Here is a 27801-nt window from a genome sequence, read left to right as displayed (position 1 = left end):
CCATATATAAAAATCAACTCATAATGTATTAAAAGACTTAAATGTAAGACTTGAAATTGTGAAATTACTTGAAGAAAACAGCAGAAAAGCATCTTGGTATCCTTTATGTCGTTTATAATTACAAACTAAATCTATTCACAAAAGAGAACTGAAGTAATACTGATATAATTTATTTTAGAAATCTCTTTTTAAAATAACTGCCATGATATGTCACAACATAGATATGCATAAATTGGCATTTTTCTCTGTTTAGACATAGATATATTTAACATAATTTATAATTGCTTTCATTTTCCATCTAATTTTTATTGTCCAGTCTAGCATTTTGATAACTAGGATAAAGTTTACACAATAATAGTTTTAAAAATAACATTTCTGTGCTCTTTCTCTGAATATATACAAAATTAATATAAAAAATTGAACTCTGATCTAGCAGCAAAATTAATCAATTTTATGAAATGTAAGCTTTAAAAAGATAGAATTTTAAAAATGATGAACCCTTACATCTCTGCCTTCCTCAATATCAATAGGCTATTAGGTTGGTGCAAAAGTAGTTGCGGTTTTTGCCATTACTTTTAATGGTAAAACCTCAATTATTTTTGCACCAACCTAATAATATTCCCATCTCCCCATTTCTTGGTTCATCCATAATATTAGACTATGTAATTTACTAGGCTCATAATTTTAACAGATTTAATTTTGTTTAAAAATCAGTCACAATATTATATTTGCTATGCAACCGTAAACATACAGACTGCTTTTGAATAGGAAGAATGCAGACTAACAATATAGCAGTTGATATGGTTTGGCTGTTTTCCCACCCAAATCTCATCTTGAATTGTAATCTGAATTGTAATCCGAATTGTAATCCCCAGGTGTCAAGGGAGGGACCTGGTGGGAGGTGATTGGATCATGGGTGTGGTTTCTCCCATGCCATTCTTGTGATAGTGAGGGACTTCTCAGGAGAGCTGATGGTTTTAAAAGTGTTTCGAAGTTCCCCCCGTCGAAGCACTTCTCTATCTCCTGCTGCCATGTAAGAAGCTGCCTGCTTTCCTTTCATTTTGCAGCATGAGTCTAGGCTTCCTGAGGCCTCCCCAGCCATGTGGAACTGTGAGTCAATCAAACCTCTTTGTTTATAAATTACCCAGTCTCAGATAGTATCTTTATAGCAATGTAAAATCAGACTAATACAGCAATATATGAATTATCAACCACACAATCAGTGTTAGTAATCTCTGAGTCTCAGAAAAGGCAGTAAAATTGTTAAATTTACTTTTAGTTCCTGTGTGTGTGAGAAAAAGTGAGATGAAGAGAGAGAAGAGACAGAGACTGAGAAATGTTGTAACGTTAATGCACTCATAAATGTATATAGATTATTTAAAATATCTGCATCAGAAAAATATGATGAACTCTCTTTATAAGTTATTATGTCACTAAGATTTTATTATTTTGATGAAATGCACTATGTTAATTCAAATGCAATATACTCATAAGTAACACTTGAGTATGTGAACCACACTTGTCAAAGTAAATGAACAAAATATTATTTTGATGTAGGGCCCTTAAACTCCTTTATGGCATTGGTTTTGTTTACATTGTAATTTTCAAAATTAAGTAATCTACATGGTTCCCTAGTGTGAATTAACAAGTAGCTCTCAATCAATGTTTCACATTTTCTTCAGCAAGCCCATGGAGGAAAACAGTGCCTGTTTTCTTTCTTGTGGTATAAAATTATTGTAGACTATAAATATTCATGCTTCAGTATGAAAATTATATTTTTATAATTTATATTATACCACAATTCCAGAGGTTTCTCTTCATGTATTCGACAAGAAAAAGCAAAACTACCTTCAAAATAATTTCATAATCATGAACCACAGGTGTATATATTTCTAATGTATACATCCTAAGGTCTTTTGCTGAAACTATTTCAGACTATCTTTAATCAGCTACTTGCTAATATAGTCATGTGAGCGAACTGAAGCTATTTCAATGGGCTGCCTGAAGTTCCCTTCTCACCCTCACCAGAAAATGACAAAACAAACGCTGTGCTGTAAGAAGTCTTCATCTTTCATACGTGACAGGCCTAAAATATGTTCTTTTCATTTAAGGGTTCCTTTCATAATATAAGACTTGCCCCTTTAATTTCAGTAAAGGAAAGCAAGAGAATTAAGAATAACACCAATCCACAAAGGCAAACTATCTAGTAAATAAAACATTTTTAAAAAACATTAAAAGGTAGCGGCGATTTCAAAGACAAGTGTTTCATGGTTGGTTGTCATTATTTATTGGAAAAGCCAAATGTGTATCAATGTAGCATTTCACTGGTTGCTATGACTTGAGAGCATGAGAGAATAAACCGAGAGAGTAATCAGTAAAATATGTAAGAGTGGGAGCAGAGGACACCTGTTGCCATATATTTAAAAAACTGTATCTTCAAAGACATGAAAGAACACAAAAATACTACACTATTGCTCTAGTCTCAAAGTCACCAGAGAGAAGCTAGAACTAAAAGGAATGATGATCCTGAACTAATTGGATTTCAAATCAAGATCAAAATGCAGCATGCATTATCCAGAAATGGAACAGTCTAATTTAGTAATTACGGGATCCGCTGCCATTGATTCCATCACAGCTCTCATTGTTTCAGGCATCAGATCCACCCCCACTTCCCCTGGGATGGCACAGCCTTCTCATTTTTTGCTGTTAGGAAACTTCCATCAATGCTTTGTTTCAATTTCTTATTCTCTCGTATCTCCTTTGTATGATAGCCTTTGCTGAGTACAGTTTCAATCGATAGAATAAAATGGTATCCGTAAATACAATTTGGAAATTATTACACATATCTTCATTTCTGGTAAATTCTGTTTTGGGCCTGGGAGCTTTAACCCTTTTATTCTTCTCCATAAGCTAAATCACAGGAATAAATAAAATAAAAGGAAAACAATTTATCATTCATCACAACATGTACAGAGAAAGAAACAGAATGGAAGCAGACTGCCACTGGACTTCCAATATTGAATGGAACACTTGAACTGACACTAAGGAACTATAGCCAGGCAGGGTGGCTCATACCTGTAATCCCAGAACTTTGGGATTACAGGAGCATTGCTTGAGCTCAGGAGTTGGAAGCCAGCCTGGGCAACATATTGAGACCTTGTCTCTACTAAAATTTTTCAAAAATTCAAAATTCATTATTAGTTTTATATTTTAACTTCTGGAAGGATTTTCTATACTTTTCATATTGGTGAGCTCCTCTATATTTGGTCCCTGTGTACAGAGAGTCAGTATAGCTCTGTAGTTAAAACTGATGGCACTAGGACCAGATTGTAGATATACAACCTTTATCTGCCACTATTTGCTCTGTCACCATGCTCAAGTTACTCATTATCCCTATTCCTTAATCTCCATAACTATGAAATGTGGCAGTAATATTCATTTCATAGTCTGATAAAGGATCAATGAGGTAAACATTAAAAGTGCATAGAACAGCATTTGGCGCATAGAAAGCACACAAGAATAATTCATTATCATTATTTGCCATCATGATTATTCATTATTTATTATTACTATATCATTATTGCATCATTATTTATTATTATTATTGCAGTCTCCAGAATTCTTGTGAGAATTATATCCATCCATCTGTCTGATGCTAAAACCAATGGCCTTAGACACTTTCTCAGAACTCAGTACTTCAAGGAAGTAAAGAGAAACGCCTTCCTTCTAAGAAATAATTTTTACTACATCATAACACCTCACCTTTTCTTGTCATCTTTCTTTCATTCATCCAGTATTCAAGTAATATCTATTGGGTAACCTAATATGCTCTAGACACTAGGATAGTGCAACACTACAAACTACAGTTTCTATTTTGGCCCTTTCATACAATTTCTAAGGTTGTTATTTAATGTTTAGTACCAGGAGATACTCGATATTCCAATGTAAGAACTCAAATCATTGGCTTACCAAGAAATAACATGTATAATAAAATTATTGCTGTTTTTCTAGATTAGGTTTGTACTAGTTTCTTAATAATATATTTTAGTCTCTATTTGACTTCAAGACAAATATTTATAGAAACGAATATTTTTACTATGTATTGATGCTTCAGGAAAAAAAAATAAGTTGTTTGCCTTAGAAATGGTCTCTTTGCTTACATATCTTGACAATTACTTAGGTCAGCATATACTTTTTCCATTGGCTCCAGGAGTTACCTTTCAGGAAATTGGAAGTATAGTATTTGGAGTTTCTCATGTTTATAGCTTTCTGTTATCCCAGGGAAAAACAAGAAATCCATTTTGTTGACATTCAAGACATGATGCTTTGCCATGCTGGAAAACCAAGTATTTATAAAACAAGGGCTAAATTTAGATTTAGGAAACTTGAGTTTCCAGCCATGAGGGAATAACAGGGTTTGAAATTATTCTCCTGCCATAAACAACTAGAAAACTGGACAAAATGTAGGAAATAACTATTTTCATACTTTGAGCAGCAGACAGTACAGCACTGGGATCCTTGACAGAAAAGAACCAAAGAAATGAGACTTATTGCTGCCCAGGCTTTCTGCCTAGAGAAAATTTCTACACTGCAATGCAGGGATGGGAAATCCAAATAGATCCTCCTGGCCTCCCTGAGTGAAGAGGTGGGTAGAATTTGCAGGCCATTTACAGGAGGGAGCTATACAGGGTAAGAATTCCAAAAATATGCATAGCAGTCCTTTGAATCTTTGGCTTAATATCAACCTCTGCATGCATAAAGTGAATCCCCAGGAGGCTAGGCAACAACTTCTGAAGAAACGACAATTGCTGGACAGCGGGTACTGAATAATATTCAGAGTTTACACAGGGTCAAGAATTGTTGAAATTTCCACTAGCCAGAATAGAGAAACCTTCTTGACTCATCAAACCATTCAATAGAGGCCGTGAAAGGAGGGTCATGCCTCAGAAACAGGGCTAAATGAGCATTAGAAAAAAACGATACTCTAGTCCTATCCAAAAAGCACTTGAAATTAAGTCTCAAAAAGATAAAGCTTATCCACGAGTAACCTATTTCCTACCGGAATAAAGTCTTATTGGAAGACCACAAAATCCAGCAGTTGACAACATAAAACTTATAAAATCTAGCATTTATTAGATTTAATGTAGCCATGAGGTTATTTCAGGAGGTAAACATGGAGTCATTAGTGCTTTCACCAATATCTGTACTTTTTCAAGCACAAATTAAGCATATACTTCCAAATGCACTTCAAATTAGGTCACAGTAGCCTCTCCTTTTTTATGCCAGACTGATGGATAATGCTTAGACTGTGGTTGTTCTGCTTACTGGAAAATGCAGTGAGAAAACTGTGGAACGAAGACTGCAGCCAATCCTCAATGGACATGTCACATAAGTAAGGAATAAGTTTTATTGTTTAAGTGTCTGAGATTTTTATGTCGTTGTCAGTCTCTGCATAATTAGGTCATCTTTAAGGATACAGTAGAATGGAACTAACAATGAAAAAGAACACTCATAGAATTTCTTAACTGTAAAAACATTAGCATTGATGATCTATTTCAGTGTTTCCCAAGTTTGTTCTAATATGTTTAGGAAATTTTGAGTTAAACAAAGTTAATCGTTAAATGGCTTCCTTTTATTCACTACCTCCTCAGTTTCTTTAACCTGCTGAAATGCCTTTGTACTCCTCAGTTAGGGACCATCTGACATATGATGCTTCCAAATTTAATTGTCCACTCTTGATTTTCAAGTGTCTCCAGCACAAGTGCTCCATGGAATGTTATGCTCCTTTTGGAAATATTGAAATAGTCCAATGCCCTCATTCCCCAAATGAACAAACTGAGGTTATTAATTAATGTATAAATCATACAACTAGAACCCAGTTTTCTTAGTTCTCACTTTTATGCTTTCTGCCACACACTGCATTGCATTACAGCACAGGACAAAGATTACATTTTTTCTTATGGGGTAAGTGCTTTCATAGAGAAGCGTAAAGATTCAAGAAAGTTAAATTCCTCAAGATCTTAGATTTGTGTCTTTCTTGGATAAAACATAAGACAAGATGGAATAAAGAGTGAATCTACATTGATAAAGGTAAAAATAATCAATTTAAATTTAACTTTATGTTTCATTGACAGTGGGCTCATCTGAGCTTCAAGTTTTGGCCTAAATGCCACCTTCTCAGAGCACCTATCTTAGAATTTTCTAGATAACATTTCACATCCCTGCCCCATTGACCAGGCTTGGCGCTCTGTAGGCTCCCTTCCTGTTTTACTTTCCTTCATAAACTTATGATATTCTGACACAGTACATGTGTTCCATATTTACCATCTATCTCCTTCCCCAGTAGAAAAAGTTCAGGGCTATTTGCAGTTGTTCTCCAAGGTATACTCAGCACGTAGAATGGTACCTGGCATATTGTAGTCACTCAATAAATATGTTTAAATTTGTGGATGTATTTTTTATTTGTCTCATGTAGCTCATATGAATTTGAGTACAATAGTTGACTTCCAAAGAAATGCAGCTTTACAATGTTGTTTGGGAAGCATCATATAACATGATAAGTAACTTGTTTGCTAAATCTAATCATATACCTGGTATTCAGAGAATACACAATAAAAATAAGTCTGGTGCTTGCTTCGGCAGCACATATACTAAAATTGGAATGATATAGAGAAGATAAGCATGGCCCCTGCACAAGGATGACACACAAATTTGTGAAGCGTTCCATATTTTTCTGCACATGTATCCCAGAACTTAAAGTAAATTAAATAATAATAATAATAATAAGTCTGGCTACTAAATAGGGTTTTCAGAGCATGATTTCAGAAGAGATGTGAAATAGGTAAATTGATCTTTAAGCTCTTTTTTACATAAAATATTCCCAGTAACCTCCTACTTCCTCCTAGTTGCATAATTCTCTTACTTCTAAAAGCAACTCCATATACATTCTTTGGAAATATTCTATTTTTAGTACATTTTAACACTCCAATCTGCTTCACATTTTGCCTAACTGGTCCTGGTCTTGGCCTTTTGGAGTCTTTTCTCCTAAATAAAGCTAGAATGCCTCCATCATCCTGATTACATGGTTTGCTCAGATGTGCTTGCTGAATTTCATGACCTCACTCCCCCTTATAAACTGGTGAGGATGTACTCATGAGCATGGAGTACATTTTTATCCTTAAAACCACATTCATGGCAGAGAACACACACCAAAGCAAGATTTTTCTTAATCTCTTGCTCAATTCAATATTTTAGAAAATGTTGTAAAAATAGTGGAAGGTGATTTCATTACAAGATTGGGGAAAACACCTCTATCTATGACCATCTTCTATACCTAAATCTCATTTCTATTCAGATAAAAATCTGATTATCCCAAAGTGGCTGGACAGGAAAGTTAATTCAGACAGATATTCTGTTTACTCTCCCTGGTTCTAATAATACATGTTCTGTAAACACCTATCTATATCCAGCAAGCAGTGTACATACAAGTATAAACCGTGAAAATTCTGAGTGGAAGAAACTGGAGGCAAGGTGTAGACCCCTCAGAATCTGCAGTTCTCCAGTGTATTCTCAAAACTGTATCAGCCAGCTGTTGGATATGTGGCTGCAGTGATACGTCAAAAGTCATGATTTCCTTTCTCTAAATCTTTTGAAGATTTTCTCTTCCCAAGAGAACCTCTTGTCTTAAATTAGAGAAATTATTTATTGGATATAAATTTCTGCTTCCAGTATCAAAGTTAGTGAGTTTTAATTAATTCATATTGCTTACTGCACCTGTTCGAGAAGAGCGTTTTCTTTTTTTAATGTAAGCAGTAACCAAAAAGATGACACATTTTGTCTTCTTTCTACACCCAAATGTAAATAATTATGATAACCTCTTGCTATGTGGGAGGCTGCTGTCTAGTGTGATCATTAAATTACAGCTTCTGTATTGTATTCTCCTTGGTTATGTTCATACAAATTCGATAGACTGAATTGCATGTGATGCAGAAAATTCCTATTTGTACTTACAAAATATAGTTTAGCAAATTGCTCTGTGACACTATTCATTTTATTTCCTGAACATTTGTGGTGGGAAATGACTACAGTCCTTATTATTACTATTATTATTATTACAGAGTTCTTCCTTATAAAGAGACTGAAACCTTTTATAAATATTAGTCTTATGAAGAAACACATACAACTGAGGGAAGTCGAGTGTTATTTCATTAGTTCACTGTGGAGAAGTTGATATATAAAGGTTCATAACCTTCTTCAACATCACTCATCCTGTGAAGTACAGAATCAAAGACAGAAAGTACTTCCCTCAATTTCTTGACACCATTTTATCTGCTGGATCATACCTTGATCCAACTACAACTCTTCCAAATGGTAAATTTTTGAGCCATACTGGCTGTAAGACATAGAGAGATTCTTTTATGTTATTTTCCCCATTCTATACTTCAATGTCTGCTCAGTCCTAGGTTAGCACATGCCTCCCCGCTAGAGAACACAAGTGTTAGTGTCATACACGGTGATATGTACATTCTGACAATTCTACTGATACTGGGAACCATGATTCATATTTTATTGCCACCTTACTGGTTTGCTTTTATGGCTGGTTTTATTGCCCCCATATATTTATTCAGAAAGCATCATTTTGAAAATATAAACCTTAAAACAAGAAAGCAGTTGAGGAGAAAAATAGAATGTGTGCTTCTTTGGAATGAGTTTAACAAACTGTGTATTTCAGAACATTTCTACCTTCTGAATTTATTTCTTCGAATGCCCACCCACCTCAAGAAATAAAGATGTTATAAATAGAAGCAGAGATCAGGAGAGCTAGAAGGAATCTTAGAATTAACCTTTCAAATACTATCATTTTGCAGATGAGCAAACGGAGGTCTAGAGCAGGTGAGAAGTGATATGACCAAATACATACTGCCAGTTAAGTTGTAAAGAAATGGCAGCTAGGCCGGGAGCAGTGGCTCACGCCTGTAATCCCAGCACTTTGGGAGGCTGAGGCGGACGGATCACGAGGTCAGGAGATCGAGACCATCCTGGCTAACACGGTGAAACCCCGTCTCTACTAAAAATACAAAAAAAATTAGCCTGGCCTGGTGGCAGGCGCCTATAATCCCACCTACTCGGGAGACTGAGGCAGGAGAATGGCATGAACCCGGGAGGCGGAGCTTGCAATGAGCAGAGATCGCGCCACTGCACTCCAGCCTGTCCAGCCCGGGCGACAGAGCGAGACTCCGTCTCAAAAAAAAAAAAAAAAAATTGCCAGCTATTCTTCCCCCAGCCCCTCACAGTCCAGGACTGTTTTCCACATTTCTGTGCCTCTTAGAAGAGACACTCATTGATTGACAGAGAACCCATCGATTGTTTGCACTTCACTGAGCAGGGTGTCATCGGGACAGAGAAGGGGAGTTCAGAGGAAGAGAAAGATTTTTTATGTTGAGGGACGTTTGCCGATATCATGATTGCTGGGCTCAACTTCTGGAAAGATAGAAAAAGCACAGGAAGCTTTCAAAAAATAGGAGGTATTTATTCTGTTTTCTTAGATGCTATTGTAGATATCTCACAGGACAAGAACCTTAATTAATTTTTGATCAATCAATCAATCATGAAGTATATATTAAGTGCATAATATACATGCAGCACTATACTCCAGTAAGTAGGTGAGTCAAGGAAAATAGTGACTGAAATAAATGGTTTTTGTTTTAGTATTCCCATTCACCATATGTACAAAGGATTCTTGTCTGCAAAATGGAACAATAACCTCACAATATGATTGAAAGAAACAACAAGAAAATTGAGGTTATTTGAATTAAGTAACTATTAGAGTAATTGCTCAATAATATTATTAAAAATTTACATAAAAAGAAATGTATATTTATACAAATGCAAAATATAAAAGTGCCTAAGGCAAAAGGTATCATTGATTATAATCTTATGTGCAATTGAATTGTTCTACCTACTTAATTGTGTCTGGGCTACCTTAGAAAGTGGCTTGTCCCAGACACTTTCTGGAGAAACTTTGCAATGTTACAAACAACTCATATTCCACTTAGAAACTTTAGCTCTGAAATTTTTTTCTATACCTATCTTATCTTTCATGTCCTATAAAACCTATGAAAAATGTATGTGTACATTTTTGCCTTAGTTAAATAAGACCATTTTTGTTCATTGATCCTGATTTATTTATTCCATGATGCTTACTTAAAAAAAAATAGTAACATTTAGTTTTTAGTTCATTGTGAATTTCTACCTATGTTGTCTTAGGTAGAAATTATTTCCCACTTTAACAATAGACCATAAACATCAAGAAAACATTGAGGAATTTTAAAATAAAGTGCCTGTTTTTTATCATTGAGTTAAAAATCAATGGCATTGAAACAAAAACAGGCTCTGCTATTTTTGTACTGGAAAATTATTTTAAAAATCACTTGATATTGAATTTAAAGTTATTATCTTGAGTGAATTTTTATACATTGTTGATCAATTTAAGCATTTAAACTAGATAAAAATTAAATATTTTTATTTTTGAATTTTAAAGGTGAATTCTAACTTCTTTAAAAAAATATAAAATATTTCATATTTTTAAGTTATCTTAAGACTTTTTTCCGTTCTTCAAAAGTTCCCATTTAGGAGATCATAAATGGTATATATACATTTATAAACACAGACAACCCTCAGAGGACCACCCGAATGCTAGAAAGAGATTGCAGAACACAACATCCAATGTTCACAGATAAAATGTAAATGAAGTCAGCTTGCATGCTGTAATTGCTATAAAATCATATTCCATTATTTTTTAAAAATTTCACCAAAAAAGATTGTATATTATGTATGTAAATATTTTCACTTTTTGTTGGTTTCATATTTGTTCTTTTTTTAAAGAACTGTATTTGTTTATTCCATTTCATTTAATTCAACAAGCGGTATATGATCTCTACTACATAGGGCAATCACCTGTATTTTATCTTGCAACTAACAAACTCACTTTACGACATTTATAAGAAAGCAACGTCTATTTTTCTCATATCTAGTTTACACTCACACATACACGCACACTTTGCCTTAGTTTACTCCTTCCTTATTTTCCTGTCACTTTGCCTCTTTAGGTCTACTGCCACTCTGCTTTGTTTGGAGATATGCTGTCTTTGGACTCTGCCCTGATGTTTCTGGATCTCACAGCCCCCAGTGCCATGTTCTTTTCATTCAGAATAGTTCACTAAACTGTAGCTGTGTGGGAATTGATTGGGAGTGCATCTGTAGCTTGGCACTCATTGGGGAAGTACTGCCGACGAAGTCATCAATATGTGCTCCCACACAGCTGGCTCCTCTTAAGTCCACTCTAAGATTCTATATCAGAAACATCAGAGTGAGAATGTGCTTTCTGGAATTGAGAGATGTGCTCTCTGAGAATGTGCTCTCTACCTCCCTGATTTTTTTTTCTTCTCTTTTGATGTTACTGAAACAAGACACACAAAAGATAAATTTGAATCATAAGCAAGAAGGCCAAAAAAATTAACTCATGTTCTATCATTGCCAGTTGATGTGCCTATAAAAATTTGGGACGATTACTCTGTTAATGACTTCACTGAGGGTAAGCCTCTCAGAAACTTTGGTCATAGGATCACAGTGGCTGCAGCTGCCTGAGGCTGGGTGGTTTCAACTTTCAGGCAACTCTTTGAATGTGGGATTTTTATTTCAGTTTATATCTCCCAAGTTTCAATACGAATAAGCTCTAAGACTCGAAGCAAATCTCAGCATACTGAAGTTTAGTAATGGTTCCATCTAAAACCAGACATTATCCATAGTGTGTGCAAGAGGTGACCCAGGTTGATGGAAAGACATTGAGACGTCCACAAACCATTTAAGGAGCCTGAGCTGCATATCGAACTGTTTTATTTTTTAAGAAAAAGTGGTGAGTTTTGCCTGGCTTTTTGTTTTGCTGTCATGATTGTACACAAATGAAACTATAACTATATATTTTATTAAGGGAATATGTTTGCTGTTTGCCAGTTTTGATCATATCCACCTTATGGTTGAACTTAAGGGAATAAAAAGCCATCATGTCAAAAAAAAAAAAAAAAAAAAAAAAAAAAAAAAAAAAAACCTTGGTAACAAAGTCAGTTTATGTGTTAAGAAGAAAAAATGGTCTGGTGGCCTTTGCAGCAAATAAATTCACTGAGGAAATCATGCACAAAAGTTGAAAAAGAGTCATGCAGCCTGGGTTTGTATTTCTGCACATAAAATATTAGAAATTACAAGCAGAAATTAAGCCCTAAGTTTCCTCTCAATTTGAGTTCCTATTTATTTAAGAACATTAAAAAATACAGATAAAAGGGTGAATTATGAGCTTATTACTAGGGATAGTCTAATGACATTATGAAAGTTACATTTGAAGGAAAAAAGAGAAAGTTTTACTACTTAAATGTATTTCTCTAGGCTTTGTGATGTGGTTGTTATCTTGTTCATGCTCATGATGCTAGTTTCCAAAGTGCCATATTGGAGCCTGGGATGTATAACCCATGAGTCTTGCAAAACTCAGTATTTATCCAAAGGCTTTGTAAGGCATATTTATGAATCATATTTTTATCCAAATCTCTGAATATTTTAAATTACTCTAGTTCTATTAGCTAAGAGATATTTAGCATAACACACAAATCAGTTTTGCTGTATGCAACAAGGGAAATTGTTAAAATATGAAATAGATATTTATCTGATTTACAATATGAAATATTTTTAAAAGGAAATTATTGACTCCAACCCAAGTTTTTTCAAAGCCTATTGGCTCTTGAAAGTTGAAATATACATGGTTTAGTTTCAAATATAGCAGTGAGCCATTAAATAAAGAAGATGAAATCACTAAATTAAAAATGATTGCTAATGCTTAAGTGTTCTAGAAAGTGACAACTAAGGGGAAAAATGTAACTATTTTAGAGAATATTTACACTTAGTCTCAAAAAACCCTATATCAACTGAAAGAATTATCTAAAACTAAGCATGTTGTTTTTGGACATAAACACATTTTGAAAATTGTATCTTATATGGAAGGCAAACAAATTGATTCGGATTTGTAAAAGGAATATGTTTGCAGTAAGACTAAACAGTACACTGAAGGATGAAGGTAATTCATAAGGAAACACTTTAGAAAATAAATACTATCTCCAGTTTTAAAACATGCATTATGCCCTGTACTTGCGATTCCATGATAATCATATTCACTTGCAGCTCTGATTCTTTCTTCACCTTCCACTCTCCTAATCACACTACCATAGAATGAGAGGAACATAGCCTAACCCCTTCACTTTACAGACAAGAAAATGGAGCTAAAATAAAATTTTAAGTACAATAGGGCAATCCAGTGGGAAAATTCCCTAAGCAGTTAAGAATAATCTGCTTAACGTGGAGACCTTGATTTCTGTCATTCTCTTTTGTGATAAAAGTAACTCTGCTCTGCTGGAGATAAATCTGAAAGTACACTCAGAAAGTACAAAGACAAGGAAATAAATAAGGAATTGTAAATCTAAAGGTGATGCAAAGATATGCAATAGTTATATTTTTGCTTGCATTACTTGAGACTGCCACAGAATTAAAGAGCAACAAGTTTGGTTTTAGGAAACTAAAATTCCAGCCTCAGTTCTATTATATGTGTGTGCTCTCTTGGTATCTGCTTCCTTACCTCTAAAATGGACATATTAATAGCTATACTGCCTGTGTCACAGGGCCTATGTGAAGATCAGATAAGACAATTGATTTGAAAGGCTATGTAAATTCTAAGGCACTACACAGTGCATGTTTATGGAGTGCAGTGTCACTTATAAATCTTTATATTGCATTGCTTTAGGACAGATTTTATGCCAAATGACACCAAATTAAGGTTCTGAAGAGCAGCCAGTTAATAAACATTAAAACTAAGATATGCTTCCAACAAGTCATACCTGTAGCCATTTCTCACTATTCAACTAACAACTGGGCTCTGCTTCATTACTTGGCAAACCTTGCATCTACGAAACCCTCTCTACAATAATGTAAGGCTGCCAAAGCTACTGTGCATCCTCAGCATGAATACCCATCCTCTATTGACCTTTCTGGTTTTTTGAGCTCTTTGTTTACTCATTTACATATTAGACTTTTAAAATTGTACTCAGCCTTACATCCTTGTGCTATACTGCCCTGAGATTTTTAAAACACATGAAGAACAACAAAAGAGTAAAGGCAACAAGTTCGATACCAAAAGAGCTGCCACAGAATGAAGGGCAAGGACTGCAAGAAAAAAAGCAGATAACCAATGCCTGTCAGAATGACAGGGAGGAGACACTAATATAACTGGACTTCTGACTTACAAAGGAGTTAAAAATGAAACAGCACCAGCTTAAAATCAATATGAAATTCTATAGGCAGCCTTTACAAAGAAATCAAGGGAGGCATAATATGATCTCAGCTGCTCACTCTGGGGAAGACAGGATCACTCCAATGTGCAGTACTAGCTAAACGCAGAAGCCAAGTCCTCCTGAAAGCCCCACTAAAATGGAATTACTGCAATCAGGCACTGTGGTCAGGAGGGCATGGATGAGATTGATGAGGTTATCAAGAGACAAACAGGGAGTGCTGGCCTATGCAAATTGCTAAGCAGAACAGGAAAACATGTTCACATCGCATATTATTAACCGTTTTCTTTCAAAGGACAGAATCAGATTTCTACTTAACCTATCGAGAGACTTTCAAATATGCATCCTCAATTAAACATGAGCAGGAAAGAGCACCAACATCCCACTCAGAACGTCTCCCATCAGTCAGATTTTGCCTTCTAAGTGATGGACTTAAGCTGCCTTTCCTGTCTCACTTCATTGCATTGCTATGGACTCTCACAGTTCTATTGGGCAGAGACCACAGTATATAAAAGCAAGAAAAGAAAATACGCACTTCACCTAGTGGCATCTGCATGTATTTTTTTTTTAATACCTCAAGGTAAATCAGAAACACTGAGAAATCAACGAATTACCAGGTTTATAATGTTTTATCAGAGTTTCCTTGTTGCAGAATCTTTTTGAATAGTTGAGACTGCTACTTTTGACAAGGCTTTCAAACAAAAACTCTTAATGCTGGGAGAGACCCCAGAGAGTACTTTAGCTCTAACTCCTCATTTTACAGGTGGGGACAACTGAGGTCCATTGAGACTGTGTGACTGACTTCAAAAAATCAACATTGGAATCCAGCCAGGAGCTCATCTTTCCCAATTTTCTTGATTCTCAACCCAAAGTTTTCTTCCTCTCTTGCCTCTCGTCCATAGTTAATATATTCCTAGGCTGATAAAAGCAACAAATGATGACCACAAGGGCTTTTAGGAATTAATGCATGTCTAGATAATGTTCATAAAAGTTACAGACCAAAACCATATTTCCTATCAGTAAAATTTGTGAAATGACATCAAATATTGCTGTAACTTGTTTTTGAGGGAAGATGGGTAGAAATTTTCCCATGTTAAAATTTATCTCGAGAGGAATAATTTTAAATTTATTTTAGAGGTGATCCAAGCTTTATTTCATTTCTTGAAAATGTATGTTCTTGTCAAATTTTTAATGTTTCAAAATATTTATTTGAGAACAGTCCTGGGATTTCAAGGCTGGACTGTCAATACTGTGTATCTTTAGATACTCTTGCTGGTATAGACATCAAAAGGACCTAGATCTTTAGCTTATGTCTGAATTAAGAATGTAGTTTCTTTTGTTACTAATAGTTAGCCAAGAGGAATGCCATCACAAAGGAAATTGTAAGAGACAGATACCTTAGTCTGTTACATTTATAAGTTAGTTGGGGTCAAACTCACTATTTCTGCCACCCCTTTACTCCTGAAGAAAGGGGAAAGAAATGTGGTCAATCCAATGTATTGTCTCTGTCCTTATCACAGAAGAACAACATCAAAAAAATGATTTTTCTTTTCTTCTGATATTCTTTGTATGATAGTCGAGGACTTTTGGAAAAGTAAGACAGGGAAGGCTTGTCAAAAGAACAGATCACATATATGCTGAAACCAAATGAGCCTAGAAAGATAAACAGGATCCTACTTAATAAACCATCCCCCCAATTAGACATTGGAGATTCATTTATAGGGGGTTTCCCATGCCCCCTCCTACTTTCTTTCTTCTCCCCTGCTTTACAATATCATTTTCACCCATACCACAAGTTTTGGGTATGGTGCCTCTACTACTTTGGGAGTGACATATTGTAATTTATCAGTGGAGCAAAAATGAAAATCAAATTGACTTAAATTGAAAAGGAAAGAGTATTTACTTTTACACAGTTTCTAGAACTGAAGACCATGTATTCATTTTAAGTCTTCATTCAAAAAGCTGTTTATATCATAGTTAACAATATTTGTGATATATGACTTGGGAGAGATAAGCGTTTTTCTTTTTTTTTAATTGCAGCCTCATTTTTTCCTGTAAAGATGATTTTGATAAGTGTTCTTCTTTGAAAGTTGGGAACCTAGGGAAAGATTAATCTAGCCCAGCAGAGGAACTAAAGTGGCAAAAATTGATTAAGGCATTAAAATACCTACAGTATGTCTAGAAAATATGAGCTGTCTCTAAATGGTCCCAGTAAATCACAAACGAAACTCGAAGGAAGCAGTTAAGAAGAGCTTCCCCAAGTAATAGAAAAGTTTTCAGGGTAAAGTATTTTGAAAGTGTCATTTTATTTTTATATACTGTGCAATCAGGGAGAAATATTTATACAGCTCAGCACAATCTTTTCTCTCCAGGTTTTTAGGAAAGAATAGCCCTAATGCACAGGTAATATTCATATATAATCATCATATAGATATTGTATATACATATATACACACAAATATATTTTATATTAGCTGTGGCCAGTTATATGATGTGATGTGATATAAGAAATCTTTCAAAACCCACTGCTTACATAGGTTGCCTTATAAATCCCCCCATCTTGCCTGAAACTTTCCAACTTTGTCTTTTTCTTCTGGGGTATAGAATTATTTTCTAAATTACCCTATTGAAAAATAGTGTCACTTGGGAGGGAATGACAAAAATCTTGTAGGGATAGGTGAAGTAATCATGATCCCTTTTTACATTATACATTTACCACATTAGTTTGATATGGTTGGTGCAAAAAAAAATGAATTTTGGTTTTGGAAGTGAGAAAGATTTAGAACACGTTTTTTTTTTTTTCATGAGACAAGCAGGCCATGTAAGACCTTACCATGGTGGTCCAGGGACAAAGCAGAAAAGTTGTGACCATTTGGGAGGTTTCAAAGTAGGTCAAAGCAGCCTAAAGATAGAATCAAAATCAGAGTTTTCTCACTTGAACTGGGCTCACAGTGGCTCTTCCAAATCTCTTTAACTCTTCCTTGGTCTCATGAATCTTCTCTCATATTCTCCAAAAAACAATTCTAATTGTCTTAGCACGCACTCCTAATCCCCAATCTACCCTCCTCTCTTTCTCACTGAACAGAAAAAGCCATCATTTACTTTCCTTAGAATAACAAAACCATCCCGGTGAACTTCTCCTCTAAACTCAGGGCCTAGCCCCACTGCAAGAACCCAGCTTTCCCTTTACAATGGTCCCTCTAATGCCTCTGGAAAATATGAACGTGAGAACTTCTACCTTTTTCCCATTGCCCTCAGTACCACTCTTTGGAAAAACATTTTGCTTTTACTCAATCCTGAAGTTACTCTTTTCTACCATCTTACTTTTCTCTCTCCTTTCACTGATAGACTTTAAAAATAGCTGTCTCCACTGCATCCACCTCCTATCCAGTTTTTTCAGTTTGGCTCTGAAGTCTTTCTCTACTTGCTAGCCCAAGAAATCTAAATAATATCTTTGATATATAAGCCAATATTGGATATTTAATAATTAGCCTTTATGTAAATAAATTTCTGCATAAAGCGAATATGCTAGAATTTTCTCATTACATTTATTCTATAGCTTAACGATGGTACTCGGAATTCTAAACGTTTAATTGGAATGGTGAACTCAGAGGTTCAGTTAGGCTGAGATGGAACGAGTTTTTTCTCTAATACTATAATTAATCTTCTATTATAGTGCAAAGAATTCAAAGCACTCTGCTTCAACTAAGCTTTCCCACTAATGACACTTCAACAGATCTGAGCAGGCCCACACATGCCCTGAATGCTCTTTTTGTAGGGTTGAGATAGCAGACTGGTCATCCCTTCTCTTGATATTAGCTGCCAAGAAGCCAGAAATACCATAGTAAAGTAAGCAGAATCAGAGTAGGCAGAAAAGGCATTGCATGTTTATATAATAATGTATTTTATTACGTAGATTGTAGCAAACTTCAGTGGAATGTCCTGGGATTCAAAATTATTCACCACAGTAATTGAGATGTGGGGCCATAATTTCCTAAGGAGTAATTTCAGGTACAAAGTATGGAGGATGTAGAGAGTCACAAATGTTCCTGGATGACTTAGTAACTGACTTCTCCTGAATCCACAGCCATATGACAATCTCTGTATTATTTTACAGATAAAAAATTATCCCTGATTGGAATCAGGGAGGCATGTGCTATTTAAAAAAGAAGAATTTAAAAAGACAGCCAAGAGAAAATCCTTTGGCTCCTGAACTATTTAAATTCTCTACTGTTTGATAGACACCTATTCCAGCAATCATATTTGCATTGCCTCCCTAGGAATAATTTGTGAAAATAGGAATTATACATAAACTGACCAATTAATAAAAAGGGAATTTTTCATATGCCATACTATATACATACATACATACATACATACATACATACATACATACATACATAAGGGCTCCCTGGATTCAGCATCAAAGCGCTTTACTCACTTTCTTCCCACTAACCTACAGGTCTGGGCTCTCAGACTAATCACCTGCATGAGCAGCAGGCTGGCTTCAGGCACAGATAACCTACTGACCGTTCAAACTCCTTACTCAGAAAATGTGTAATAACAATAAGGATATTTATTTCTCCATCATCATTCTTTGTTTCTCTTTTTAAATCTATGTGTTAGCCAAAGAAGTGATAACATTCCCATTGAATTGTTTTTCCTAATTTTTTCGTCATAATATAAACATTGTAATTAAAATAGCTAGAAATTGGTTATCAAAATTAGGTTAAATTATTCTCTTGAATTATCTAATCAGAATATCTGTTGAACTTTTCTGTAAATAGCTTAGTAACATATTTTTGAACAATTAAGCACAAGCTTCCCTATCATAACAAATATGAAGATCAATATTCTCTTCTGCACTGATAATAGCATAGAGAGATAGGATATATCTTATGATCTATCTCCCACAATTCAGAATCTCCTTTTAAAGTCAGTTCACTTGTGGGTTATTTATAGTGGGGAAGAAATTTTCAATATTAAAGGTGCCAAAATTACACTAACTTTATCTTTCTAATCTCTACCTCTTTCATCATCACTATTGTCATTGTCATCATCTTTTTTTTTTTATGTGACAGCACATTTGTCAAGAACATGATGCTATTTTGGTTTTGTTTACACTTTCAGTTTGACCCATTTACCAAACTGGTATATTACCAATTTAGTTAAAATGGCCAAAGCAGACATGTTTTCAGGACTGTAAAAGCACATATCATATTTTAGATAACGTAATCTTAAAAATTTGTTGTGATATTTTAATCATATTTCTTAATTATCTTAATGATAAAAGATGAAAGTCAATCTTCTAATAGAATATTCCATAAAAATAGAAAAATATTTATAAAAATCAGTTCCATACTCCTCAAGTGGCTCTCATTTTTTATAGGAGAATACACAGTCATCTTCAATTGTCATATGAGATAATTCTAGTAAGGATGTAGGAGGAAGTAGCAAGAGCTTCTTTAATGATGGTAATCTGAATTAACCTTCTTTATAAAAATAACCTACTTATTTTATTATACTCTATATTTTAGCCAGTGTTTCCTGATATGGATTCTAATTTAAATACCTTGACTTTTCAAGAAGTGTTTTCTGTATTTCACCTCAAATACCTTTTAAATCAAGATATATAAGTAAATCGACATATAAATGATCTCTGTAGTATATGAAATATGTTCCAAACCAGTTCTAGGAAGTTTAGAGTTTCTTGAAAATAAATAAATATCTGATTTGGTATTAGACATTTATATAATAAATGTGAAGAAAAAAATTGCTTTTATTGCTGAAGCACTTATCTGTAGAATACATACGTGCTGCGCATTAGTAAGTACTAAAAATTTCAATGGTAAGCTCTGATTTGTCTGATTAAAACACAATTCATTATTCCCTTGAGCATTCATAGTCTAATAACATAGATATGAAGTAGTTGATGCTGTCATTAGTGTATTTTAGCAGTGCCACATACTTTCAGAAGTTTTTTTTCTTGTTGGGGATGATAAATTGAAGGAATGCTCACTCCAAAATCGGTGCATCATAGAAGTCTGTGATGCACATTGGGTGAGAGTGCCAATGGGGATTTTCCTTTATCTTTCCAGCATATTTTATTATTAGAGCATGTGTTTTATTACCACTGAGGGTCTTGATGCACCTCATCATGGACAAACAAATAAGCACTGTCACACTGTAAATTCCTAGAAAAAGGTGATTTTTCCCCACCTCTCTCAAAAAGACTATCTAGTACTCAAAGACAAAATGCTTTACCGAAGGCTTTATACTTCCTACTAAGTCCATACTCTTCATGGAGGCTAGCAGAGAGTGTGAGCTCACAGGGTCCTGCTGTTATATTTGGTTGTGTCTCCATCTTTGTCTCTGGGATGGCTCCAGAAGGGCACTGCACATGTTACCATATGTAGAGCATATCATATGTCATCAAAACAACTATTAGTAATGGTTGGCCAGAGAAAGAGACTTATTTAGATTGCTGAAGCTTTTTCATCTTTTTGTTTTGGGGTTTGGACTGGCCAGCATTTTATTATATAAGCAGAGTAATAAATAAGAAAGATCTGCTCCTCCACCCTCCCCACCCTCCTACAGCCCACACCCCAAATCTATCTCCCTACCCAACCCCACCCCTTCTCCCAGTGACATGAATGACTTTGACTATTTTTCTGTAAGGAATCATTTGATTTTGGCCCCTCTCACAGCCAAACGCTTTCACTTCTTAGATGTCTCTGCAAACAGCTAGTTTTATGAAAAAACACATTAGACAAGATATCTGAAAAATAAGGACGTCACTGATGAGTGTTTTTATAGTGTTCACTTAGTAAGTTTGACTTAGATGAAAAATCTGTCTGCAATCCTATTTTTCCCAATTACTAAACCCCCAAAATGAATCAAAGAGGCTTTCTGGTTTAGAATGTTTAGTCCTTTATTTGTTTCACTAATGAAGAAGACATACTGAGATGTTGAAATTTGAGATATTTATTGTTTTTTTTTCTGTTGTTGTTATTTTTGGTTTTGGTTTTGATTTTTCTTGTCGTTTGTTTTTGGATTTGATTTGTTTTTTTGTTGTTGTTTTTGTTTTTGCCACCCAGCTGCCTGTACTATAAACAGCTGTAGCACAGAGGGTGGAAAAAAAAAACACAATAAAGCTTAGAGAGTGAAAATTGTCCAATGCTTCACTAGAGGTTCAGGCTGGTAATCACAAGAAGACACAAACCAATTGTTTATTTTTTCCTGCCTCCAGCAATATTTTTAGCTTACCACATATCTTTTTCATATGGATATGATTTTTCCCCAATGAAAAATATATACTAAGAAGAAGAATGTCTGCAATTAACTAAAATAAAAGAGCATGTGCTCCATGGTATAATAAAGGCAAAAGGGCTCTTTGTGAAGTGACATCGCTCCAGGAAAATTCCTTTCTCTAACTGTGATGCATTTGCTTCTATTCTGCATTGTGAACCTCCCGAAAATAGAAACTTTATGTTTAATTGATTTATTTGTAATGAATCTGGCTCAGGGTGAAGAGTCTTTGAAGCTGATTGATTACTGCAACAAGCTTAAGATTTCATACCACAACAAACCTTTTTGTACTAATAAACAGTGGGACAATAAAGCTCTGGGGCATGGTGTTTCCCTTCACATTAAAGTGAGGATTTGCAACTTAAGTATGTGAGGGACATAGTTTATGTGCTCCCAAGAAGCAGACATAATGAACTATTTCTTTTAATGGCAGATTATCCCTGTTTCTATTTCCTGGAGTGAAGACCTCGCAAATTGATGTATCTGTCCTCTGAGGTTTTCAGAGAGGCATTATGGCATTTTAAAATATTAATATGAGAGTACATTTAGCTGAAAGTAGCTAGTCTAGGAGTCTCTTGTGGCTGCAATGCGGGTCACCAGAGACCTCCTGTCTCTCAAGGCAAATGATTTACTCTAAGTGTATCATTAAGATACACTTTTTGGGAATTTATGATGGTGCTTTTTCACCAAGTTATACCTTTTCCATAAAAATTTAAGTATTTTATGCTATTTTCCCTCACTCTCATTCCTTAAAAACCTGGTCAGTGTCACGGACAAATTGTAAGTACCACCCCCTTCACTGCCACTGTGGGTTTGGGCTGAACACTGATTAAGTAGGACTGGATGTCACATCTTGTTTCAACTTTGCAGAGCGAAGACTATCCTAGGGGATTTGAAAAGAACAGCAATTATTGCTCCAATGGGGAAAGTGGGGAGGGGGTGGAAGGAAGTCCACATTCAATGCATGAGTTAGATAATAGTCATGGAAAAATACTTAATCAAATGGATGCCAAAGAAACTATTCAGGGAACTTTTTGGGACTATTAATTTAAAAAGTTACCTCCATATACTTTTAAAGTGTCCAGGTGACTTGATGTAGCATCTGGCTTTTCAGATTTTAAGAAATCAGGAGATAATTAAGCATATCTGAAGTAGAAAAAGCGACTCAAGTCCAGGCTTTCCTGCGTTATTATTCCCAATGATCATTAGATATCAAGGCCTTAAAATTTGACTTGCTATCAGAGTTACCTTTTCTCTACTGCAGTGAAACAGATTGGGGCTGTAGTCTCTCTGTAGTTTAGTCACTCCTTAAATAATTTTTTAAGTCATCTAAATGGCTCAAGCAAATATGATGCCTTTTATTGCTTGTGTGTTGGTAAAGGCTGTCCATGAATACATCCCGATTTCCTCCTTCAGTCTGACTCTGAAGTTACCGCTTCAGCATAAAGACACCTCAGTTCTATCACACTGTTTTGCTAGGCTTTGTGATGTTGTAATGACAGGCTAGAACAGAAGCATCCATGGTGCGTTTGTCATTGTGTGATCACGGAGTTTAATTTTAAAACTTCTGTGTATGAAGACATGAGTTGATATGTAAAGACTAGAACCAAAAGAAGAAATCTTTAAAATGGTAATGAAGACTCCAACTTACAATCAAAGTCTTGATTTTTTTTCTTTCTGGCAGAGGACCAATCATTTAATTAATTAATTTAGGTTAGAAATCCATTGTCAGTTTGAACAAAGCAAATATAACATCACAGCAGTAAATGTTAAACTCCTTAAATGTCACTCCAGGATTCCCTGTGAGGAGATGATCGTTTTGCTAATGATAACTATCAACAGCAGAGGAACTAGTGAAAGCAACAGCAAATTACTTTTCAAGCAAGATTTCTTAAAATAATCTGTGCGGTTTTATTAGAGGTACTTTAAATGCTGTTTTCAAAGGAGTATTGCAAACTTCCTTGAGTAGGGAGATTATGACTACTGTATATGTATTCTGAAAATGTATTTTAGCTTACTTGTAAATTGATGCAAGATCACAAGAATGATGAATAGAGAAGTAAATAATCTCATTAAGTGACCACACCCTATTTGTTCTATCTGCAAGCTTAACCCAGTTGAGTCTTTTTATGGGATATATGCAAGTCCCATCAAGGAAAACTACAAAAAAATTAATTAAGAGATGCAATGCATTAAATGGCAATAGCCCTTTCTTTATACAGAAACTTTCTTTTATAACATACATATATATTATAATAATGAAAATTGTGTTTTTAAGACGGGATTGTTAAACATAAACTTACTCTGGATAGAGTGTTTAAAAGATTCATATTTAAAATTTTAATTCATGCTAATACGATCTTAGGAAAACAAAAATTTATACTTTGAAATCCAAACTAGTAGTACCGAATCACCAGCACTATTTGCAAAAAGCTGTCAGCATCTATTTAACTCCCCAAATTTTATTACTTTCTGTCTAGACTAGATTCACCTAATACTTTATTGATAAAAACATTTTGTATTTACATCTTAATTCTCATTTAGAAAACGCATAAGAATTCACAGACATTACCTCATTCAAATGTCCACAATGCATCTCTGAAGTAGAGAGGTGACAAGCTTTATAAATGTTAATGGTAATACTAATACCAACAATTATATAGTGCCTTTTTTTCTGTGACGTTCAGAGGATTTCTGTTATATATATTGTTTTATTCCATACAAAACCAAAATGATGTAGATTAAGAGCAAGCATTGTTGACCTAACATGGATGTGATTTTCTTGATATATGTTCCTTCATGAAAATGGTAGGAAGTTACAAGGTACATTGAGCTTACGGAACTGACAAAATCAGCATTTAGCTGGATTTGTTTTGATAATATTTATAAATATCTTTATGAGTATTTCCTTAATATTCCCACTACTCACAGTAATTATTTGCTTAACGACCCCTTTGCCTGAATTAGTCAGCTTCCTCGAGTGCCTGTTCTTTCCCTACCCAGCACTTTACATTAAGGCCAGACCACTCAACAGTGAGTACCTACTACACCTCATCTCAGTTTTTACCTTACTAAAATCATTGAAACTTCCTTAGCCTTAGTTTCCTCATATAAAATAGGGAATACAAAATATCCTGTAATTCCTACCAATTGGTAAAGTAAGTGGTGAAGTAAAACATCCTCCAAATGAAAGTGGTGTAATATATGTGATATTATCCAACACAAAAAAAGTCTTACTTCTATAGGCAATAAGCCTGTAATTTTCATCATTCATATTATCACAGTTGGTATGCCAAATTGAATTAACTGATTGAAAATGAATAATAAAAAAGCCTTTTAAAATATTTTTCATATTAAGATATAGTAATAGGGACCTCAATAGGTTATTGCAAGGATCAACTGAGATAATACAGAAAAAAAGAAATCTGTATTTTGTAATTCTGGCTGTTATTATTTCTGTAATGATCATGTTGATTTACTTGGTCTCTATTTTCCCAAAACACTATAAATATTTTCCCCTGGTGGAAAGTCATATCAAAACTTGTCTAGTTTTCTATTTCATAACCAACATTGAACTTTGTCAAAGTTCATTAACTTCAGGGGATTTGGAGAGGATTTGCTTGAAGATTTCTTACTACTTCTCATTATGATAGAAAACTTTAATACATTTTTTAAGAGACAGAATCTCTCTCTCTGTTGTTCAGACTAGAGTGCAGTGATCCAATCATAGCTCACTGTGACCTTGAACTCTTGGGCTCAAGTGATCCTCATGCCTTGGCCTCTCAAAGTGCTGGGCATGAGCCACCATGCCTGGCCCTATAGAAAATTTTTAAAAGGCTGTCAGCAAAAATGATTTCTTAAAATTGGTGTTCCCCTTGTTAGATAACTCAGTGAGAACCTAATGTAAATCAAAGGTAACAAGAAAAAAAATCTAAGGAAAAGTAACTTTCATAATTACAATATTTTGTCCAAAATGTTTAAAAATGTAAGTAAGTGGCCAATTTTAAGGTTGAATAAAATGTTCTTTCTCTTATATTCTTCCATGTTTTTCTAATAGGATATAGGAAACATCCTGAAGTCTGATTGTACTCAGCTTCACATCAGAAGGAGACACTGTGAAATATAGTTTAAGCATAGTTTACTCTCCTGTAATTATTTTTGCTGCAGTGTAACAGCCCTTCAACTTTTGTTTTTTAATAAACTACATCTGATTACTGGGTGGATAAATCATCTAATCTCTTCCCTACAGTTTCTTTTTTGCAAAAGAAATATGTCATAAAGGGTAGATTCATTACATCTTATCATTAATATGCTTATGTCACTTAGCTATTTATAGAATTACTCTTTATAAAGTTTAAAATGTCCAAATATAAATATTATAGGCTTATAAGAAACTATAAAATAATTTTAAATGATAGGTTTTTACAATAACTGTAAGCTCAAAGTTTTCTACTTCACCTTTAATGACTTGAATACCAAAGTTTATTTAATTGTAACATTTTTGAGGTTTCAATGAGCAGTTCCTTCATCATTTTAAAAGTTATTAAATTGTCCAATTTCCTCTATTGTTAGCATATTTTTAATCATTATTAATTAACATATTCTATAAGAATAGAGTTCTTAAAGTAGTGAAGTGGGAGAATCTCAAATCAAAACATACAGTGTTACAATTAAAAAAGGATGAAAATTTCTGATCTAGACTTGTATTTTAGCATATTAATATTTTCCATGATACTAAATGTCTATGGAATATTATGCCATAAGTAGAATTTTGGTGTCCCTTATAGTGATTATTGACCTACTAAGCCAAAGGTTGACTGTACAACCCCTACTGGGGGATTTAGAAATTGTGGTGTTTACATATGAAACATCTAAATCTATTGCCTGTCTTCTGACCAAAAATCTGCATGATTCATATCCCTTTTAGAGAGCAACCTAAAAGTAAAACAAAAAAGCAATTATAATCATTATTGGTAAATGGGTTCTCATGAATTAAACCTGAACTTCCTGTAATTAAATTGTTAAACAAGAATGATTTAAGATAATTCCCAATCAAATGAGACAAATGGTGGATTCAACTGATGAATTTCTCACTAGGCTGCCACACCATGTAGCTACTCGGAGTGCAAATTAGAAAAGGCATATAGTAGTCATTTTTCTCATACTGAACAGAGAGCTCAGGTTATAAAAAGGTGTGGGGGGATTAGTAGTTTGTTTAGATCTGAGCCAGCTAAATTAATGTTATCCAAAGTGTACCCTGGCCATGCCAATCTGTCATCCTGGTTTTAAAAAGAACACCAAAGACAAGTGTGCAAGTGGACAAAAATACCTTCTTCATTCATAAGAAAGGGATGGGGGTGGGACCAGGCATCCACAGATCAAAGTGGAGTTGACATCTAGAGCTTATTAATAAATCTTATAATTTGGTAGAGAAATACTTTTTCACAAGGGCTCCAGACACTAATTCCAGAATCATTACATGATAGATAAAGACACTTGCAAGTATGAGTAGCCAGAGAATGAATATAGAAGTAAGAGTGACAATACTTAAGTAATGTATTCATCAAATATTCTAAAATACCATTGGAAAAGGAAGTCCTATGGTACTAATTCTCCAATATCTACCCTTAGGCAAGTTGACTTGAGAGCACAGTAACTAGGTCACATTTTAATGTTTATTTTAGCAAATAGATAGGATTGCATTAGCATAGGACAAAGTAAATATTGATTTGAGAACCTACAGCATACAATAAAGCAGCAACCTTCCTAACCCTTTTAAAGAAATCCAGTCATAAATAAAGTTCATCTCCACTATATTTCTTTTTCAAGAAAACAATTGATACATAATTCATTGATAAAGTATCTTCCTCATTATCTTTACTGATTGCTAACCAAATGTCCTAGTCATACTAACATTATAGCATACAGACTGCATTTGTCTAACCTTCTAAAAGGGTATGTTGCACCATATACTGCAATCCTGTTTTATTTATGGAACAATCTATAAGGGCAATTTTTAATAGTTCCACATGAGCTGAGTGCTAAAAGACAGAGATGACAAATGTTAGTATTATTCTAACCATGATAAAAATAAAATCAATAATTGCAC

At 34.4% G+C, this 27801-nt stretch overlaps 1 pseudogene, besides 3 other annotated features; it reads left to right on the top strand.

Annotated features, from left to right (window-relative positions):
• On the top strand, window positions 6627-6732 carry RNU6-480P (RNA, U6 small nuclear 480, pseudogene; annotated as a pseudogene).
• Window positions 21277-22870: an enhancer, noted in NCBI's record as "VISTA enhancer hs215". NCBI's record gives its function as "enhancer in: dorsal root ganglion[6/8] | cranial nerve[6/8]" and the evidence as "EXISTENCE:transgenic organism evidence [ECO:0001131][PMID:17130149]".
• Window positions 21571-22596: an enhancer, noted in NCBI's record as "CREST3 sequence used in transgene". NCBI's record gives its function as "activates a zebrafish isl1 promoter in primary sensory neurons of transgenic zebrafish {active_cell/tissue: primary sensory neuron}" and the evidence as "EXISTENCE:transgenic organism evidence [ECO:0001131][PMID:15680372]".
• Window positions 21878-22296: a conserved region, noted in NCBI's record as "conserved_region; CREST3 subregion that is highly conserved between human, mouse, chicken and zebrafish". NCBI's record gives the evidence for it as "EXISTENCE:sequence alignment evidence [ECO:0000200][PMID:15680372]".

This window comes from Homo sapiens, chromosome 5, assembly GCF_000001405.40.
Source record: "Homo sapiens chromosome 5, GRCh38.p14 Primary Assembly".
Taxonomy (NCBI): domain Eukaryota; kingdom Metazoa; phylum Chordata; class Mammalia; order Primates; family Hominidae; genus Homo; species Homo sapiens.
The sequence above is the reverse complement of the archived record's forward strand: the minus strand, read 5'-3'. Positions and strand labels throughout refer to the sequence as shown.